Raw genomic sequence first — 19922 nt, forward strand, 5'->3', positions numbered from 1 at the left:
AGCTGGGTGCGGTGGCTCACGCCTGTAAATCCCAACACTTTAGGAGGCCAAGACAGAGGATTGCTTGAGGCCAGGAGTTTGAGACCAGCCTGGGCAACATAATGAGACCCCATTTCTGGAAAAAAAAAAAAAAAATTAAAAATTAGTCTGGTGTGGTGGCCCGTGCTTGTAGTCCCAGCTACTGGAGAGGCTGAAGCAGGAGGATCGCTTGAGCCCAGGAGTTCAAAGTTACAGTGAGCTATTATCATGTCATTGCACTCAAGCCTGGGTGACAGAGTGAGACCTTGTCTCTATTTTTAAAAGTTGTTGTGTTTAGTGCAAGAGACCAGTGCTGTAGTACCAGTTCTTGATTTACGTATATGAATATATAAAACCTGTGAGGACAGAAAAACAAGAACTAGAGGGAGAACTAGCATACAAAAAAACTGAATAAAGCTTTGTATTCCCAAACTGAAAGAAAGAAGTACAATTTTTAAAAATTTTGTGACATTCTAATAAAATATCTTCCAAGAATACACTAAGACAACAGTTCGTTTATGTTTTGAACAGGTCACTCACTAATCAAGAAAGACAGTAAGACGAGGAGTTCCCTCAACACGTGGTCCCTCCCCATCCAGATTTCTGGTTTCTTTAGACCATTCCGGGTCTAGGTGTATAGACAAGAAATGGAAAACATGGGAAACTGGAGGCCAGTACCTCAGTCACTTCCACATTACCTACATACACAAAGATTCACTGTGATGGGGATTAAAACCATTCAGGGCTGACAACAGAGAACCAACTCACTCCGATAGAACTCCTTGGCAAGCTGTGCTTACCTGAATAGCTGCAAATGCCAGTGCGGCCCAGATCACATGCATCATGATTTCTTGTAGCTTCTTCACTACTAGAGCCTCACACCCCTGTAACAAACACAGTCATCCTCGTTAGAAGTGTTCTTTAAAAGTTAAAGCTGCAGATTCACAGGCCACTACCCACTTACAGAAAGGAAAATGACAGAAACTGAAAGAGTGGAAAAAAGATTCCATGATTGGTATAATTTACAGACATGTAATTAAAACAAAGACATGCATTTTATAATAATTTACAGTAAAACAATATATGACATTAAAGACAAGCAAGGTGGCAGAAAAGAAGTCCCAGATGGTGATAAGACATGGTGAAAAACAGGTTAATCAAGCTAGACTCAAGTCGTGGCCAAGAGACTCACCTCAGCATAGAGGTCGGAAGGGTGGGCCAGGCTGCCATTACAATTGCTGGCAGTCTCTCTGCAGCAGCTAAGAGGGACACTCTGGTTTTTGGTTTCTTTGAACCAATCTGTATTTTCCCAGTCTGAGTAGTTGTGAATTCCACAACAATGCAGCTAAAGGAGAAGAGAATAAGTATTATTTCTCACAAAAACCAAATACCTGAAGTTCCATGTACTACAGAGCTTTAAAATAAGCTACTCTAGACCAGTGATGTCCGATACAACTTTCTATAATGGAAAGTCTGCATGATCCAATATAGCAGCCACTAGCCACATGAAGCTCTACTGAGCACTTAAATTGTGGCTAGTGTGACTAGAAAACTGCATTTTAAATTTTAATGTAAACAGCCAGACATGGCTAGTGGCTCCAGAATCTCCATATGAAAAGTACATTGCCAGGCCGGGTGCAGTGGCTCACGCCTGTAATCCCAGCACTTTGGGAGGCCGAGATGGGCGAGTCACCTGAGGTCAAGAGTTCAAGACCAGCCTGACCAACATGGTGAAACCCCGTCTCTACTAAAAATACAAAGGCTGAGGCAGGAGAATCACTTGAACCCGGGAGGTGGAGGTTGCAGTGAGCCAAGATCGCGCCACTGCACTCCAGCCTGGGCAACAAGAGTGAAATTTCGCCATCTCAAAAAAAAAAAAAAAAAAAAAAAAAAAAAAAAAAAAAAAAAAAGAAAAGAAAAGTACATTGCCTATAAGCGGTAGTTTCTAACTAAGGAAAATCTTCATGTCTTACATGTTAAATATCTGGTTCCATGTTAAATATTATTTCCAATGACAAAGTATTTAAAATATTTGGTCTTAAAAATTTTGAGATTTGCTTTAAGATAATGAAGCAAAAAGTAAGTAGGGGCAATAAGACTGACGAAAAGTTGATATTACTGAGGCAAGGTCGGGGTGCAAACATCTATTACACTATTCTTTCTACCTTTGTGTGTATCAGACTGTCCATAACAACTTTTTTTTGACAGTTTTTCTGTTGCCTTTTCTTATCTTGTTTTCTAAAGGTATATATAGACCTCCCACCTCCCCTGGAGTCAATCTGGACTCCCACCTTTCCTGTGACACATACCTCTCTCTTGCGTCATCACCCCTTTGGCTAAGTACTTTGGGAGAGTACAGACTGGGGTCAGGGAAGGGGAAATCAGATGATAAAAAAAAGTTCAAGATGTTTCTCATCTGGCTAGGTGATGAAATAAACTTTTCAAGGGTGAAGGTTGGGGAAAAATATTGGTCACATCAGGATAGCCATGTATGTGAAGAAACATGGCTAATTTACACAGAAATAGCAGTTAGTTTAATGTTGACCCAATCGTGATTGGTCCTCAAAAACAAATCTGCCTCAAGAAAGCTCACCTGTCTCTGTACATAATCAATAGCCCGGCTAGCAGCATCAGGGTTGGTTCCATTGTAGGTCTTATACACTTTCTGAATGCTGCGATCAACCTCATTTTCCACCTGAATCAGAACAAAGAATTCAGTCCCTCAAAAATACTAGTAAAAGTAACATTAGTCAAGGCTCCTACTAAAATACTTAAATGAAATGTTTGCAAGTTGCCAGATATCTATGAATTTCCTGTAAAGTTTTCTCCCTTCCTGCCTTCATCTTCATATAGATATAGATGAAGGCAGGAGGGAGAAAAGTGACAGGTAAAAATTCAGACATATACCACATACATTCAAGCATTCAAAGAGAAGATTGTGTGCAAAATGGCAGGCTAACAATGTATTCAAAAGGGAGAAAAGTTGAGGCTTGGGATAGATGTCCTAAATTATAAATGGATGCCTTCCTTTTACAAATAAGTTACTCATTTTCCTTTCCTAAAGGAGGTAAAACAAAGTAACTCTGAAGCTCCTGTAAGATACTTTTAGGACAAATGCCAACATTATTTCCATTTTATTTATTCAACGTTTAGAGTTGGCTAAATGTGCAAAAGTAATCGGCAGGTTTAAAAAAATCAGTCCTTAGAAATGGCACTTTATGAAAAAGCTACTGTTCAATGTATTGCAAAAAGGAGACAGGAAACAAGCTTCATAGCTTATTGCTGCCAATTACTAAAATGGCAAGCAAGTATCACTTAGTAAAGTTTGCTTGTACCAGATCCTCCTTACCCCTCGGAGGACTGGACTTATCTGGTAATTACAACAGTAATATCATAAGTCCATAAAATTGATAACCAGATCATAGGTAGGGACATAATCCATTGCATTTTTTTTTTAGCACAGCTTTACAGTACCTTACGTATCAATGATCTGAAAATTAACTTGGCATATTATGCCCTTGACTCAAAACCATTAAGTTATAATGAGAATGAGTCTATTATGTCTTTACCATGCCTCTAAAATTATACCCATATTAATTAATTTAAAGCAGCCTGTTTAGCCTTAAGTAGTACTACAGGTAGACAGCAAAATCAGGCAAAATAGAAAGGAAGGAACGGTGAAATGATTAAAAAGAATGAAGGGCAAGAAAGGAGTGCTGGCACCAGCTGCCTTGGTGTTCTAAGTTGGCAGGACCCCTTGTTCCTCAGGACAGGGGTGGAAGGTGGGATCACAACTCACAACACCTTTTTCTATGTTTAGGACCAAAGCATTTTTTAAAGAGACAATGGAAAACGCAATTCTGAGTTTGGTTCTTCTAAAGCAGAAATCAGAAAATTATGCCTCCCCTCATATAGGCAATCTGTGTGCTGAGGAAATCTGAACAAACTTCTCAGCTAATTATTCATTTGCAGCTATAAATACCTATAATCAAGAACAATACATATATAACACTCTGCTATATTAAATGAGGTAAGGAGTCTTGACATGTAAATATTTGCCAATTAACTTTAGATATTTGAAATACAGATTAAACAAGTAAGGCAAAAGAAAATGTTTACTCTGATAAAATGAATGTGTTCTATTTTACTTGAAACACTTAAACCACCTTTTAAGGCATTATGTGAATTACAGTAGACAACATACCTTTGCTCTGTAAACATATCCCAAAACCACTACAACAACTTCTGTGACAAAAACCAAGAGCAGGATGATGACAAACTGTAAGAAAACATGGTTTAAAATTATATACAAATGAAAAAATAACTTTAAATACACTCTTGATTTAAAAAAAGTTATCAGAGATAATTGCTAGAAGTTTAAATGTTAACTCTGTTCCAACTATAAGAGCCAAGGAGTCTCATGTTCAAGGAGAGTAGCATAGACTAAATACTCCTGCATGTTCTCACAACACATCTTACCGTGGCAAGTCCACAGCGACTTTCCCGGATTGTGGCACAGCAGCCAATTAGCCCAATGATGAAAAGCAGGGCTCCTACAGCTATGATCACTACAGCAGGGATGAGCGTGTACACATCTTCAAAGAAGTGGTCATAGTCATCATAAGTGATGAAGACATAGGCTCCCACATAGCATAAAATGCCAGCTGCCCCCTGTAGAAAACAAAGTCAGTACTGGTCTCTAAGCACTGCTGGTAAAAATTTCCTATTATTGCTTAGTATGGTATAATTTAATGAGAGTTACCGTAACTGTTATAGACTTTTTTCAGTAAAGCTGAAAATTCTATGATTCCTTGTTAAGAGCATTTCTATACTAGATAAAATTAAAAAGTTATCCACACTTCACCTACTTTTCACGAATTGATGGTTCAGCTAGGACCAAGAAACCATAACCAAATAATAACAATGATGATGACACACACCTACACATCCCTAAAGGCTTACTGTAGCTCAATTCCACATCCAATACGGATCAGTATGGTGGTAGGGGGATCTTTGCTCACTACAGTTGCCCTCAATAAGTGGGGAAATTTGGTAGAAATGACAGAGCTTGGATTTGAACTCAGGCAATCTGACTCCAGAATCTACACTTCTAATCTCTATCTACCCCACCTCAAGGAAAAGAAAATACACCAACTAGTAAGCATGATACCCACCCCACTTCCAAAAATCTTGCTGTCCTAGAGACAGTGAAATGGCAAAGCTAGAGGGCTCAGTCATTAAAGAACACTGCAAGTCCTCTATCAATTCTTTAGAATGGTGGTTCTCAAACTTTGAAGTGAATAGGAATTGCCTGAGGATCTGAATAACAAGCAGATTGATTCAGGAGGTCTGAGGAGGAGCCTGAGAGTCTGCATTTCTAACAAGTTCCCAGGTGATGCTGGTGCAGCTTCTTCTTGGAGCGCACTCTGAGTAACAAGGTATTAAAGACCTAAAGGGAAAGTGAACACACAAAGACAAGTGATAGGTGTGTCTTATTTCAGCTGCTGCTCCAGGCATCATTCTCCAGCTGCAGAGTCTTACTTTCTCCGCTATTGTCAATTTTGCTATCTTTGGGTACCAGCTCTGTGCTGACAGCCCAATGCCACTGGCTCATATACAAACAAGCAAATGCAGTGTCAGAGTAAGTGTTAAAACATTTGGTTATCACTTGGATAACAATGAGTTATCATTTGTAGAGTACTTTGAAACTTTCACAAGAAGTATTTCATCATCCTTTAAAATTTAACATATAAATCATCTTCAAACTAGAAACAGCTGCCACAGTGATACTGGAAATATCATTAACTTCTCTGAACCTGAAAACCCAGATCATTTAAGTTTATGAAATTCAGTAAGCTTGGGGATCATCAGTATATTTTTTTACACTAGGCCATTAGGATCACTGTCAGATGAGGAAGAAAAAGACTCCATTTATGTAAATTTGGGAAAGTAATTTGATTTTTTAAAATGTAACATGAACTTTTTAAAGTGAGAAGACAACTAGAATAATGAAGGCAATTTTTAAAAACATTGTTTTAAAACTCTCTTCCTCTGGCTTCCAAGAGGCCCCACTGCTGGTTTTCTTCCTACTTCCCCAGGTGCTCACTTTTTCATTCTCTTCACGGACTCTGAGATGTTAGTGATCTCCAGGATTCTGTCTTCGGCCTTATTCTTTAGTCATTCTCTGGGCTCTCCGTGGGCTACAGCAGCTATGGCTTCATTAGTCATTGTAGCTCACTACCTGAGCTATCATCTCAGAACTACACATTTCCATCTGCAAGTTCCAGAGACATGTCATCCTCAACCTGTCTCAAACCCTTTCTGCCTTCCTGCCCAGCCCATCTAATCTTCCCTTACATTCCTATCATAGCAAAAGGTACCAGACATCTAATTTTTCTGGTCAAACATCTGAGGATTAACTTTCCTTGCCCCACCTCTATAACCCATAAATCACAAAACTTCAACTTTACTTCCAAAACATTATTCGAATACCTCAACTCCTCTTCAACCCCACTGCAGTGCTTCTGTCTTAATTTGGGCCTTATCTTATCCCCCTAAATCTTACTTATTGACTCTCCCTGCATCTTAATACATTCTTTATACTACCAGGGTTATATTTATTAAAAATACAAACCAGATCAAGCCATAGCCTTACTTAAAATCAGGATGAGGCAAGTGAGTCCCCGATGAACCAAGCTATTCCTCCTTTTCAGCCCCAGATCTCATTACCCCTTGTGAACTATGAACAATATAGAACTGTTATACCCAAATGGACCACATATTCTCTCACTTCTTTGCCTCCGCTGTTCTCTCTAGAATGCTCTCTTCAAATGCCTGGGAACTCCTTGTCGCTCATTAAGATGAAGCTTAAATGTTACCTCTTCCTTTTGGAAGCCATTCTTGACCATTTCAGGCTGGATTAGCTGCCCTTGGTGGACACAAACATCTCCCAGTGCATGGTTCTAACAGAATATTTATCGAAACGGTTGCAATTATAGCTATACCTGTCTCAACACACCTTGAGAGCACGAATTGTACCCATCTGTCCTTCACCCTTGTATCATCTAGAACAGTACTTGGCAGACAGCAGGTATCAGTTAAAGTTTATTGAGTACACCTCATCTCACCCCTTTCCCTTGAAATCACCCTCCCAACTCTATCATAAGCTTTGGTTTGTATTTGCGTTGGTTTGTATTTGTATTTGGTTTGTATCTGGTTTCTCTTCAGTTCAATGCTTATAGCTTTTAGTTCACTATTCAATTATTTGGCAACTGAATCCAGCTTGCTGAATTCTGATGGCCATTACATCTGGAATATGTTAATATATCGTAAATATGTCATAAATATAAACACTGTACTTACAGCAAACTGCCTGTTCAAAGGTTCTCAGAGTTCACTGACATATTTGCTTTTGGGGCATGGTACTAGAGAATGAAGGTGAGCACAAAAGTGGGGGGGAGTGGAGAAGAGAAATAGTTTAATTTATCTTAATTTTATTTTATTTTATTTATTTTTTGAGACGGAGTCTCACTCAGTCGCCCAGGCTGGAGTGCAGTGGCGCAATCTCAGCTCACTGCAGGCTCCGTCTCCCAGGTTCACGCCATTCTCCTGCCTCAGCCTCCCGAGTAGCTGGGATTACAGGCGCCCGCCACTACACCTGGCTAATTTTTTGTATTTTTAGTGGAGACGGGGTTTCACCGTGTTAGCCAGGATGGTCTCGATGTCCTGACCTCGTGATCCGCCCGCCTCGGCCTCCCAAAGTGCTGGGATTACAGGCGTGAGCCATTGCGCCTGGCCAGACATAGCTTAATTTTAATTTGGGTGCATTTATTACAGAAGTATGTCAACTACTTAACACTCTTCCCAAATACCCCTTTTTATTGACTACTTGTGTGATATATATTCACACACATGTACACACACACATTTTGCTAAAGTAAATAGTATCAGTCCTCACGCTAAATTAGAAGCAATCTGAAGTGCAAATTAATCAAATTTTGTCATTTGTTTTTATTAGACGTTTCTCTATCCTTTAATGTTGTAGGTTTTTTTTACTCTAAAAGGCAGTATTTATTTCTTAAAAGGCTTGAGTTAAAATGAATTCCATTTCTGAGCTTTCGGTACACCTACTGAAACTTCACTAGCTTTAGCCTATGTAAATTCGAATGAAAATAAGAGAAAACTGGAGGCCATATGTACTTAACAATCAACCTGAAGCACAGTTCACTGAAGAACTACTTGCATTTTAGATATAAATTGATGAGTTTTCAATCTAAAGAGGTTCCTATGAGACTCACACTTAGTGCTGCTTGGAGGTGGGCCAAGGGAAATGTTTCCTCTGCTGCCACTGCCTCTCCCCCCTAAAAGAGGCACTCATCTGAAACTGAGACTACAAGAAAGCAGAAAAACCAGCAACAGAGACAACCAGATGCACAACAAATGCAATGGAGGGCTGTGGGGAGATGCCATTTGTAAAGCTGCCTCTTCTTTTCTGATAGACTCTACAACAGTTTTTTTTCCCAGGCTGCAGTCAACATCCAAGTCACACAACAAGATGAGAACATAACAAAGCTCTATTTGGCAACATATAGTTAAAGGAACTTACTAGTTGCACACACCAAAGAGAAAACTGCACGGATTGCTGATATGAAACTATACACATCAAATTGCTTATAAATAGACGATGTGTTTCCTAAATTGAAAACAGCTTCAAATTTTGCTTTTACTGAAATCTGTATATGGTGCTTATATCTTAAGCTGTATAATAAACAATTATGAAATGACACTGGTTACTTTGAAAATATAGAAGAGGTATCCCAGTAGCAGCTGAAGACCTAAAAACAGCCAAAAGTAATTGTTGTAATGATATCCAACCATCAATATGAAAAACACCCAAAAGAACATGGGAAACAGTATAGTAAATGGAAGAGAGGTTCTAAGAAATTCCTAACTAGTATGCATAGGGACTTTGTCATCCCTCAGATTTTTAATGCAGAAATTGTGGCTATCAGAAAAGCTATATAAAAGGTGAGCTTAAATTCTTCTTTTGAAGGGCCATGATGGGATTGAGATCTATCAAAGGATCTGAGCTTTGCCAATAAAGCAGCTGCAAAGGAGGGGGCTGGGGAGGAGGGAGGTGCAACAGAAAAGGAGATGAAATGTAGAACTTGGAAGCAGCTGAACTGCTTTAGTCACCACTGAGAAAATCTGAGCCTGTAAGGAGGATTTGTGCCAGGACAGTGTACTAAAAATATTCATCCTTTTTACAAAGAAGTGAAAGGAAATTTAGGCAAAAGGCTGAGGTCTGAAATTACAGAAAGAATAATTTTTAAAAAACCATTATTCTTTATCTTTTAATAAGCCTATACTCTAAATTAAGTCACAACATTTTAAAACTTTAGGAGAGCCAGTGCTTTTCCACTAAGCTGTCTAAAAAATAAAGCCATCTTGTTATAAAATTTTGCAAGTATATGAGTTCCAAAAGTATGATACTTCATTTTATGCTTTTACCCTTCCTCTACATATGCACAAATGTGAAATATCTTAAAGAGATTTCATTCTTATATGAGATTGCTTTTTCCATAGCTTAGAAACTAGTTTTTGGGGGGGTAATTTTCAAATATTCTATGAAAGAGACAAGTAGATAAAATGTTAAAATCTGGGCCAGGCGCAGTAGCTCACACCAGTAATCCCAGCACTTTGGGAGGCCAAGGCCGGCAGATCATCTGAGGTCATGAATTCGAGACCGGCCTGACCAACATGCAGAAACCCCGTCTCTACTAAAAATACAAAATTAGCCGGGCGTGGTGGCACATGCCTGTAATCCCAGCTACTCAGAAACGCTGAGGCAGGAGAATCGCTTGAACCTGGAAGGCAGAGGTTGCAGTGAGCCGAGATTGCGCCACTGCACTCCAGCCTGGGCAACAAGAGCAAAACTCAGTCTCAAAAAATTAAAAAAAAAAAAGTTAAAATCTGTAAAACTATTAAATTCCTTTTCATCAACCACGGTGTAACCTGCCATTGGAATGTGGCAATATTAAAAATGAAACAGATTTGCTACAAGTGGGGAGATAAAGTAGCTCTGTTGCCAAAAGTATACCTACATGGAGATTTAGAAATACAAAGGCGAAAGCATCCCACAGGACATTTTGGGCGAAGCTGAAGCAAAGAATAGAAGTGATTTTCTTGCAGTGGTATGTAGTAGCCATTGATGATGATTCCCATCTAGAACTGGCAAGAATCAAAACAATGTAAAGACAAGGCACCATCTGGACTTTATTCACCTAAAAGCACAGTGCCTGACAAATTCTTGCTTGCCTGTGTGAACTGCTCCCTTCGGAGTGATTTTTGCCAAAGAATCAATTAGTAAAGTAGAAGTGACTGGAGTGTTGAGAGAAAGGAAAAAAGTCAAGAAGTAAAAGACTGAGCAAAAAATGCTGTACTCTAGACTTTGTAAGAAAGCAGGTTTTAAAAGCAGAGGGAAAAAATAGGCAGGAATCCATCTTATGCATATATCTTTTTAACATTAAATCCAGAGTTTCCTGTACTGTCATATTATTTTTCATATACCTCTTTTCTCTCCTGGGAAGAATCGTTGGTAATTCCACACAGTGGATTTCTGAAAGCTTCCCCAAACTTCACCCTTATGCCATTACAAGTGTCTTAAAATCATCTTAAATCGTTTAGCATTCTACTTGCCATAATGTATATTCTCTAATTCAACCATGCTTTCACCTCTGACTTAATCTGATAGAACAGTTTACGTCACTAAACACAACTACTTCTTATGTAAGTCCACTACCTGAATATATCATTTACTCTCCTACCAACTCTCAAGGAAAAAAGGCCATTCCAAAGACTCCAAATCCTCTTTCAGAAATTAAAGCTACTCTTACCAAGAATTTCTGAAGCTATTAAATACTATCATTTTCTACCTAACAAACTGATCAGCAATAAAGTTAAGGAGTATTCAAAGATGTGTGAGGGTGCAGAGAGAAGGGCCCTCAGATGGGCGGAAGCACAAACTAATAGAGAATCATTTTTTTGGAAACAATCTGGCAATACATATCTGCCTCAGCATTGATGCCTTTATACCTACTTATTCCACTTCCAGGAATCTATCCTTTAGAAAGTTAGTCAGAAACACAGATTTGTGTAAAAGGTAATTCATCGAGATGTTGTAATGAAATTGTGGCTGCAAAAATGAAAATGAAAAAGCCCTGGTATTCAGAGGTGTGTCTGCATTCAGCCCTGAAATATTTTCTTAAAGCATCATTTAATAATATGCTTGTGGTGTGATAGGGGAAAAAACACATATATCACATATTGGAAACAAACCAAAATGTTGATATTGGTTGTCTCTGGGTGGTAGAATTATGGGTGATACCAGTTTGCTTTTTAAAATACTTTTAGTGTCTTCTTTAAAATATATTACTTGCATAATTAGAATAATAGTTAAAATTATGTCTGAAATTGAGGCTTTAATGTTCTCTCACCAATGAATTCATTCCTGGATGTGTCCTTAACCAACCAAAAACAGACACCTCTTCCATCCTAAATATTTTAGGCACCTCTGCCAATCTCTCCCACTTACCACTTTTCTCAGGTCTGTGTGGCTTTGACTCATCCTGTACATGTTTTCTGATTATCTAACACAATTCTTTCAATGTACATTATGTTCCTTTTCTCATAAATATTACTTTTCAAGGAGACAAGTTTTTTTTAAAGTCCTACTTAAATTGGGGTGTAAAGTTTTATGTGTGTTTTTTTAACTCACCACTATACTAATGAGAAAATTCTATTTTTTTTTTTTAAGACAGGGTCTTGCTATGTTGCCCAGGCTGGCCTCAGACTCCTTCCCTCAGGGGATCCTCTCATCTCAGTCTTACTTGTAGCTAGGATTACAGGCATGTGCCACCAAGCCTGGCTAAGAGTTTAAAGTTCTGACAAGCCACTTTTGCCATCAACATCACTATTATTATTGCCATTATTCTTAAATTAGAAATATTTTAATCCTTTTTACTGCTATTACTCTGATGATATGCCAAAGGTCATGCTCCTCAATTCTGCCTTATTTTCACCTTTTCTCTATTTGGTTTTTCATAATCATTATTAAACCAGCTTAACAAAGTTGTTCTATTTAATCCAATATCTACTGGCTGAACAACTCAAAATTTCAGGTGGCAAAGAAACTGGAGATTAACCAATTGCCATTGCCAAATTATTGTAACAGCATGGAAACTGGCTGTTTCCAGACAGTAGGGCTCCAGAGGTTATCTGAGAAGCCTGAAATTTAAATATGCATTTTCTTTGAGACCCTCTGTTACCCCACCCTACTCTAATTGTAAAAAGAGTCCATTACAACATCATAGGAGCCTGAGGTGCTTAAGCTTTGTAATGCTAGAGTTCATCCACACTTGGGTTATGTGTTTAATCAGTAGCAACAACAATGTAAGTTACAAAATGTCAACATTTATTCTAGAACCCCTTTAGTAGATTACAAACTACACATAAATGCAGATAATTTTTCTTACCTATTAACTCTGCCTAACTACTAAAAGGAAGACAGTGAGGAGAAGGAAGAGGAAGAAGATATGTCAATATTTTTCAATAAAGACTTACTTGAGACCAGCCATGAGTAAGATTTCTGGGGGAAAGGTGCATGTAGAAATTTAATTCGATGAAAAGTCTACCCTCTCTCCCCATTAGCTGTCAGACTACAGGGACTGTGTTTACTCTATTTCTCAAAAAAAGGTCAAGGGTAGATATTCAACACACATTTACTCATGAATGATTCTTAGTACACCCGTCTGGTCTAAGTACAAACTTTATGGAATACATTTTCTGAAAAAAAAAATCAAACAAGCCTAACCTGAATTGGATCTTATGGAATAAAATTCATTAAATTATTTCAAAGCATGATAAATATCCTAGAAAGCTAATAACCCATTCCCTAAACTGCAACTAGAGAGAGCGCCCCTGCTGATTCCAAGTTCTAAATGATTACTCAGGGCCACAAGGCTCTTGGTCAGTGGACAGGTGACTAAGAATGTAGTAAGAGTGGAAACATTCATTTTCTTAACTGTTGAAGACAAACTAAGACAGACACTTCCTATTATGTACTTGCTTCCTGACAAGTTAGATTTTCTTCTAGTGAATTGAAAACAAGCATGAAAAAGCAAAGTTAGCTGAAGGTGTGTCCCATGACATATTCTTTGTCAGAGCAGTCATTCATGATAGGAGAAATACAGGAAGTAGAGAAACAAATTCCAGGATATCAGATGCAGGTTCCGGTTTAAAAGTATCATATTACCACCTCGAATGTGTAGGATGTGCTGGAAAACACAAAGTATGTACAAGATTTGTGACAAGGGAGAACCACACTTGAAATACCTCATTATAAAGTTTTATTTTTTAAACAAAAGCATGACGGTATAAACCTCTTAGTAATTTGAACATAGCAAGTATATTTTTGCCTTACAGCCTACAGCCTGTTCCTTCAGTTCTGAATCCCCCCAGTCTCCCAATCTCTTCCAAATCACCCAAGTCAGCAACTTCTTATACTCCAGATTTTTTTTGCCAACATAAAGCACGACCCAATCACTTTATCACATCACCCTTTAATTCTCTGCATAACACATCACTCTGATCATTTTTCTTGTTTATTTTTGTGTGTCTTGCTTCACCGGAAAGTAAGTTCTGTAAGAATAGGGATTTTTCACTGTCTTTTCATCATTTATCAACAATATAAGCACAAAGTAGGTGCTCAAATAGTAGTGTTATATTTAACAAAGCAAATTTTCCTTAATTATATACATTCACAGACATAAGCGTGATAAGTTTTATTTATTTATTTATTTTGAGATGGAGTCTCGCTCTGTCGCCCAGGCTGGAGTGCAGTGGCTCGATCGCCGCTCACTACAAGCTCCGCCTCCCGGGTTCACGCCATGCTCCTGCCTCAGCCTCCCGAGTAGCTGGGACTACAAGTGCCCACCACCACATCTGGCTAATTTTTTGTATTTTTAGTAGAGACGGGGTTTCACCGTGTTAGTCAGGAGGGTGATCTGCCACCCTTGGCGTCCCAAAGTGCTGGGATTACAGGCATGAGCCACCGCACCTGGCTGATAAGTTTTATTTTTAAAGGCAGGATAAGTTTTAAAGGTTACATATGGCTTTCAACTACAATTTATATGTGTGAAGTATTTCATATGAATGAATGATGGTTAGTGAAGGTGCCACGTTCCAAAGCTATTTCTAAAGGCATTTATTTAAAAGGCGTTTGACTTTTTTGCGGTACTTCCCCCACTCTACAGGTGTCTCAGTTTTATACTATCACCTCTCAGATGAAAAACAACAACCTAAATAGATATTTAAGATTATAAATTCTATAAGCATGGACAAAGCTTTCTGTTCCAGTCCCTGTAATGCCTAAGATAAATATGAGCAAAATAAGTATTAGCCAATTAGTTTTTCTAATAGGGTTTAAAAAAAAAGTAAAGGTAATTTGTATAACATAGGACTTGATTAAATAATCAATTAATTTACCGGAATAAAAACTTAATGGTAGGAAGTACTGATTTAAACTTGTTTTAGACGAGCCCTCTTTGGTCAGATTAAATGACTTACCAAACTAAAAATCCTGTCTGACCTTGGTACAAAGGTGCAGTTTACAGAATAGGCTAATGCCTATTTAATACAATAGCCTTTGCTGGGCGCGGTGGCTCACGCCTGTAATCCTAGCACTTTGGGAGACCAAGGCAGATGGATCAAGAGGTCAGGAGTTCGAGACCAGCCTGGCCAATATGGTGAAACCCTGTCTCTGTTAAAAAAATACGAAAATTAGCTGGGCATGGTGGCGCACGCCTGTAGTCCCAGCTACTCGGGAGGCTGAGGCAGGAAGATCGCTTGAACCCGGGAGACAGAGGCTGCAGTCAGCCAAGATCGCACCACTGCACTCCAGCCTGGGCGACAGAGTAAGACTTCGTCTCAAAAAAAAAAAAAAAAAAAAAAAAAAAAAGCCTTTAAAATTTAGTCATTTACCTAAAACACTTCTAACCTTCTTCAATAAATCCTCATGGGTCCAGCATGAATACACTTATATTTAAAGCCTCATCATTCCATAAAAACAGAGATCCAAGATGATCCAAGCTGTACATCCTTTCACTTGTCCAAGATTATCTTTCAAGCTACAAATCTTAATATTCTAGAATTTGGTGAGAAACTGTCTTAGTCTGTTTTCTGTTGCTTAGAACAGAATACCTGAAACTGGGTAATTTAAGAAATTTTTTTACATACATGGAGGCTGAGAAGTTCAAGGTCAAGGGGCCGTAGCTGGTCAGGGCCTTCTGCAAAGTCCTGAGGTGGCCCAGGACATCACACGTGGTGAGGGGGCTGAGTATGCTGGCTCACGTCTCTCTGCCTCTTCTTATAAAGCCACCAGTCCCATTCCCATGAAAACCCATTAATCCATTAATCCATGAATGGATTAATCCATTCATGAGGGTAGAGCCCTCATGACCCAATCACCTCTTAAAGGCCCCATCTCTCAATACGGCCACATTGGGGATTCAGTTTCAACATGAGTTTTATAAAGGACAAACATTCTAACCATAGCAGGAGTTCCCTATTTCCATTAAGACAAATTTCAGGATTTTAGAAATGATTGTTTCTGCTTTTGGTTTGTGCCTTTCCACAGTAACATTATTACAGCATTGTTCCAAACTATCTACACCAAATCAACAGTAACGATTTTAGCTGTCAGATAATTTACAGCCTGAGTATTTCAGGTATATATCTATCTCCATGTCACAGTTCAATGAACAAAATGCCAGCAGAATCAGGATATCAAGACATAAGAAAGTGTAGTTTAAAGGTCTTGCCAAAGCAATTAAACTTTGACCCTTGTTAACAATCAGCCATTACCATCTGACAGTGAAGAGCCAATGCAACATAGTTTTTATTGCCTACAGTTGCCCAAGGGAACCTAGGTAAACATTTGATAAGCTCTATGGAGAGTATGTTTATTCTTCCACTTATTCATCATCTCAAGGCATTAAAAGGAGGGAGGGGCCAGCATATAAGAATACATTTATTAGAACTGAAGAATGCATTACAAATTCCCAGGAAGAACCTTTTAACATTTTTTAATGTACTTCCTCATAATGACTTAATTCAAAACCAAACAAAGTGTCATGTAAATTCTGGTACAGTTTCTAATTTTAGCAATCTCAAAATCAGCATGCTTTAGAGAAGTGATTCTAACAACTTTCTTCTCTTTACAAATCTTCTGAAATCACACTTTGTCCTAACATCACAGTCTCTAGAGTATGGGACAACCTGGGTTTGAACGCAGGCTGTATCACACCTTGGGTGTGCTACTTTGGCTCAGTCAACCTTAATGTTCTCCTCTAAAATGTACCTAATATTCCCTGCTAGATGGGAAAGCTGTGAGGATATGCCATGTAAAGTGTTTAGCACAGTGCCTGGGGTATAGTAACTCAAATGTTAGTTGCCATTACCCATCATCATCAGATTCCCACAGTTAGTCCACAAACTAATACTTTCTTGGGAGACATACCTAATGCTGTTTCCTCATTAGCTACATTGCACTGTGACACATTTGCCCCCAGCGTATCTGCTTAACTTCCTTATCACAGCTCACAAAAACTTTACTACCCTACTAACCAAGATAAAGCATATTTTTACTAAACATTACCACTTCAGTCTTGGCAATAACCCGCTATGAAAAGCACCACTGAAGTTCAAAATAACTTTCTTCACTGGAATAACAGTACATATATTTACACAATATCCAAAGATTCAGAGGAGTCACTTAGAACTGATATTTTAGAGTAAATAAAAATCTAATTTAAAGAAAATGGTTACTGTATTTCCAATATTTTGTTACATGAACAATTCCAGTCCCTGAGCTTGAATAACCTAGAATTCACCTAATATTCTTCAAAATCAAATAGTTATGGCCATAAATTCACAAGGAACTGTAAAGAGTACAAAGCCACATCTTTACCTCTTAGGTAGCTTACTAGCTGACAACGTGTTTCTCATTTGGGGACCCCTGAAAATTATTTTTCCTTTTAAAAAAGCCTGTAACTCTTAAAAAAGATAAATAAAAAATAAGTGAGAACACACGGTGCTTGGTTTTCTGTTCCTGCATCAGTTTGTTGAGGATGATGGCTTCCTGCTCCATCCATGTCCCTGTAAAGGACATGATCTCATTCTTTTTTGTGGCTGCGTGGTGTTCCATGGTGTATATGTGCCGCATTTTCTTTGTCCAGTCTACCACTGATGGCCATTTGGGTTGGTTCCATGTTTTTGCTATTGTGAACGGTGCTGCAGTGAATATATGCGTGCAAGTGTCTTTATAACAGAATGATTTATATTCCTTTGGGTATGTACCCAGTAGTGGGATTGCTGGGTCGAATGGTAGGAGAACGTCATATAATTTCTACATGCCAAGAAATAGTATTCTTCTTTTCATTTGTTTTCCAGTCATTTAGAAATGTAAATATTATTCTGGGCTCTCAGGTTGTAGAAAAACAGGTAGCTAACCGTTTTGTGCTCTTGGGCCAGAGATTGCTGACTCCTGGTTTATAACGAGATGCTATGAGAATTAATGACTTAATCATTGTAGAATACATTTCTCTTTATGGAATAAAAAATGTTATGGATGCATAAGTAGCAGTAGGTATATAGATACGTATTAAATTAGCAAAAGATGCCCTTATAATGGTCAGATTCACAAATCATGCCACATCTACAAAGAGAAGACTGATACGACTTTTGCTAATGGAACTGGTTCTATATGTGCATTTCATTCTTCACAATAAACTCAAGAAACTGAAAAAATAAAATAAAATAAATAAATAAGCCTGTAACTCAAATTAAAGTATAAGAAACACTGCTCTAATTGGAAAAGAAGAAATCACGGAAATGCCAATGTCGCCTGGGTGTTTGCCAACAGCTACTACCTCCCAGTTAGGACTCTTCACACACAAACGCCCCGAAGGACTCTGGCAATACAAGTGTGTAGCAAGTGCTTTTTAACATATAACCATCCTTTTATGAGACAGCTGTCAGGATATGAAGTTTTATCCCTTGTTGGGGGGTCGGGGGAGGAGGAAAGGATTCTTTCCAGAACAGGTGTGCGTATGCGTGGGAGGGAGGAGCTGAATGGGGAGGAGGAAGAGGCACAGTATGGTTAACCGGAATGTTCAAGGAGTGCTCTGGCGACTGTGGACAGAGCAATCTGTCCAGGGCACTCAAGTGTTTAAGGAAATGACAAGTTCAGAGAGGCAAGGTGATTTGGGACCAGACTGAGGACTTCTGCTCCAAGACCAGGGGAAGGAGTTGAACCTTATTCTACCGCTGAAGCTTCTGTTTTCCTTATTTTCAGATCAAGTGATGTGATAGAGGAAACGTTTTAAAAGATTTATCCGGGTGCAAAGTCCAGATGGGCTGGAGGGTGGAGAGACGGATAGGAACAACTTAGGTTACTATAAAAGTCCCTGATGAGATAAGGACCCAAACTAAGATGACATAAACATTCCTTTCAAAGAGGGTGTACCCCTTAAAAATTCATAAGCCACCTTTTATTGAAAGTGAACTCATCACTTTCAAAATCTTGTGACATCTCCATCATATATTTAACCAAGAGTTATAATCTCACAGTTTGGTCACCCCCATGACCAAAACAAATAGACCGATGTTCTTGGTCAATGGATTATTTGGCTCCTCGAGTTGAAACCCTTCATTTTCTGGGCTGGTGACAGTCAGCCGGTTCTCCACACACAAAGGGCGTTAAGTGGAACCCCCGCCCCGGCTCCGCAGCGTCCCCGCGGATCTGCCCGCCTCGGGACGGCCACTCGTCTGCGAGGCCCCGACAAAGAGCGCGGAACCTGAGCCTCTGGCGAAGATCCTATTTCGAGCCCGACGTCCTGCTACAGTCTGCAATAAGCGCTCTCCGTCCAGCCGGCGACTCCGGGGGGGGGAGACTGGGGCGCCTGGCACGGAGCCAGCCCGCGTGGGCCGAGCGCGGAGGCGCCGGCTGGAGGCCGTGGAGTCCCTGAAGGCCTCCCCTCGCTGTCCTCCGCGCCCAGGCTCCCGGCTTGGTCCGGCAGGGACCTCGCGAAGCGGCCTCACACCCGGCCCTCCCCTCGCCTCAGCCGCCTGAGGGCCCGCGCGCGGCCCCCGCGCGCCCGCCCAGGCCCAAGCCCGGCCCCCACGGGCGCCTCCGCCGCGGCCTCGCCCGGCCCCGCCGCCGGCCCCTCGCTCTGCCCGGCCCCGCTCACCCAGAAGATGAGGTTGAGAAAGACCAGCACGGTCTTGGAGGAGGTGATGCCGCACTGGCCCATGGCGCCGGTGGCCCGCGAAGGCCCGGCCCGGAGAGCGGGGCTGCGCTCACCGAGAGAGCGGCAATGGCGGCGGCGCCTCCTCGCTAGGAACTGCACGGCCTGCGCGGCGCTCCCCGCAGCCCCTGCGCCGTCGCGCAGCCCCGACCCCAGCAAGTGCCTCGCTCCTCCGCGCAGCCGCCGCAGTCCCCTCAGGGCTCCCGCGCCGCTCCCTGGCAACCGAGTCCCGCCCCACGCGGCCGGTAGCTTCAGCCAATCGCCTCTGCGGAGGCTGCAGTGAGGCCACGCCTCTTAAAGGAGCCAAGGCCTCAGCGCCTTTTCTTGGCCTCTGGCCGCCCTTGGACGCAGATGGCTCCCTAGGGAGGTTCTGGTGGACCAAACCCACTCTCCTCCTATGACTATGCCACCCTTATAGATGATTCAGAGCCCTCTGAGTGCTATCTTTCTACCTAGCCCATTCTCCCCTAGGAAGGTTGGAGACACTAATCTCTGCCTGACCAGATTCTCCTGACCAGGTTAAAATCTTGGCAGCACTGT

General features: G+C 40.4%; 1 protein-coding gene across 4 annotated transcripts in view, besides 3 other annotated features; it reads right to left on the reverse strand.

Moving 5' to 3' along the window:
* Nucleotides 1–19543, reverse strand: part of TSPAN3 (tetraspanin 3) — a 29706-nt gene extending 10163 nt beyond the window's left edge. Inside the window, exons 1-6 of one of the 4 annotated variants that reach the window (NM_005724.6) lie at nucleotides 19326–19543; nucleotides 4498–4689; nucleotides 4223–4297; nucleotides 2612–2713; nucleotides 1211–1363; nucleotides 819–902 (exon numbers count right to left, since the gene is read on the reverse strand). In NM_005724.6, coding sequence (NP_005715.1) covers nucleotides 819–902; nucleotides 1211–1363; nucleotides 2612–2713; nucleotides 4223–4297; nucleotides 4498–4689; nucleotides 19326–19388 — 669 coding nt within the window. In that variant the 5' untranslated portion in view covers nucleotides 19389–19543. Of the gene's footprint in view, nucleotides 1–818; nucleotides 903–1210; nucleotides 1364–2611; nucleotides 2714–4222; nucleotides 4298–4497; nucleotides 4690–19325 lie in introns of those variants that run through there. The other 3 variants (XM_017021857.2, NM_001168412.2, NM_198902.3) reach the window with 3 other exon arrangements.
* Nucleotides 16299–16388: a silencer, noted in NCBI's record as "silent region_6695". NCBI's record gives its function as "represses an Ori minimal core promoter by ATAC-STARR-seq in GM12878 lymphoblastoid cells {active_cell/tissue: GM12878}" and the evidence as "EXISTENCE:reporter gene assay evidence [ECO:0000049][PMID:35858748]".
* Nucleotides 19010–19709: a silencer, noted in NCBI's record as "silent region_6696". NCBI's record gives its function as "represses an Ori minimal core promoter by ATAC-STARR-seq in GM12878 lymphoblastoid cells {active_cell/tissue: GM12878}" and the evidence as "EXISTENCE:reporter gene assay evidence [ECO:0000049][PMID:35858748]".
* Nucleotides 19850–19909: an enhancer, noted in NCBI's record as "active region_9889". NCBI's record gives its function as "activates an Ori minimal core promoter by ATAC-STARR-seq in GM12878 lymphoblastoid cells {active_cell/tissue: GM12878}" and the evidence as "EXISTENCE:reporter gene assay evidence [ECO:0000049][PMID:35858748]".

The sequence above is a fragment of the Homo sapiens genome, chromosome 15 (genome assembly GCF_000001405.40).
Source record: "Homo sapiens chromosome 15, GRCh38.p14 Primary Assembly".
NCBI classification, from domain to species: Eukaryota; Metazoa; Chordata; class Mammalia; order Primates; family Hominidae; genus Homo; species Homo sapiens.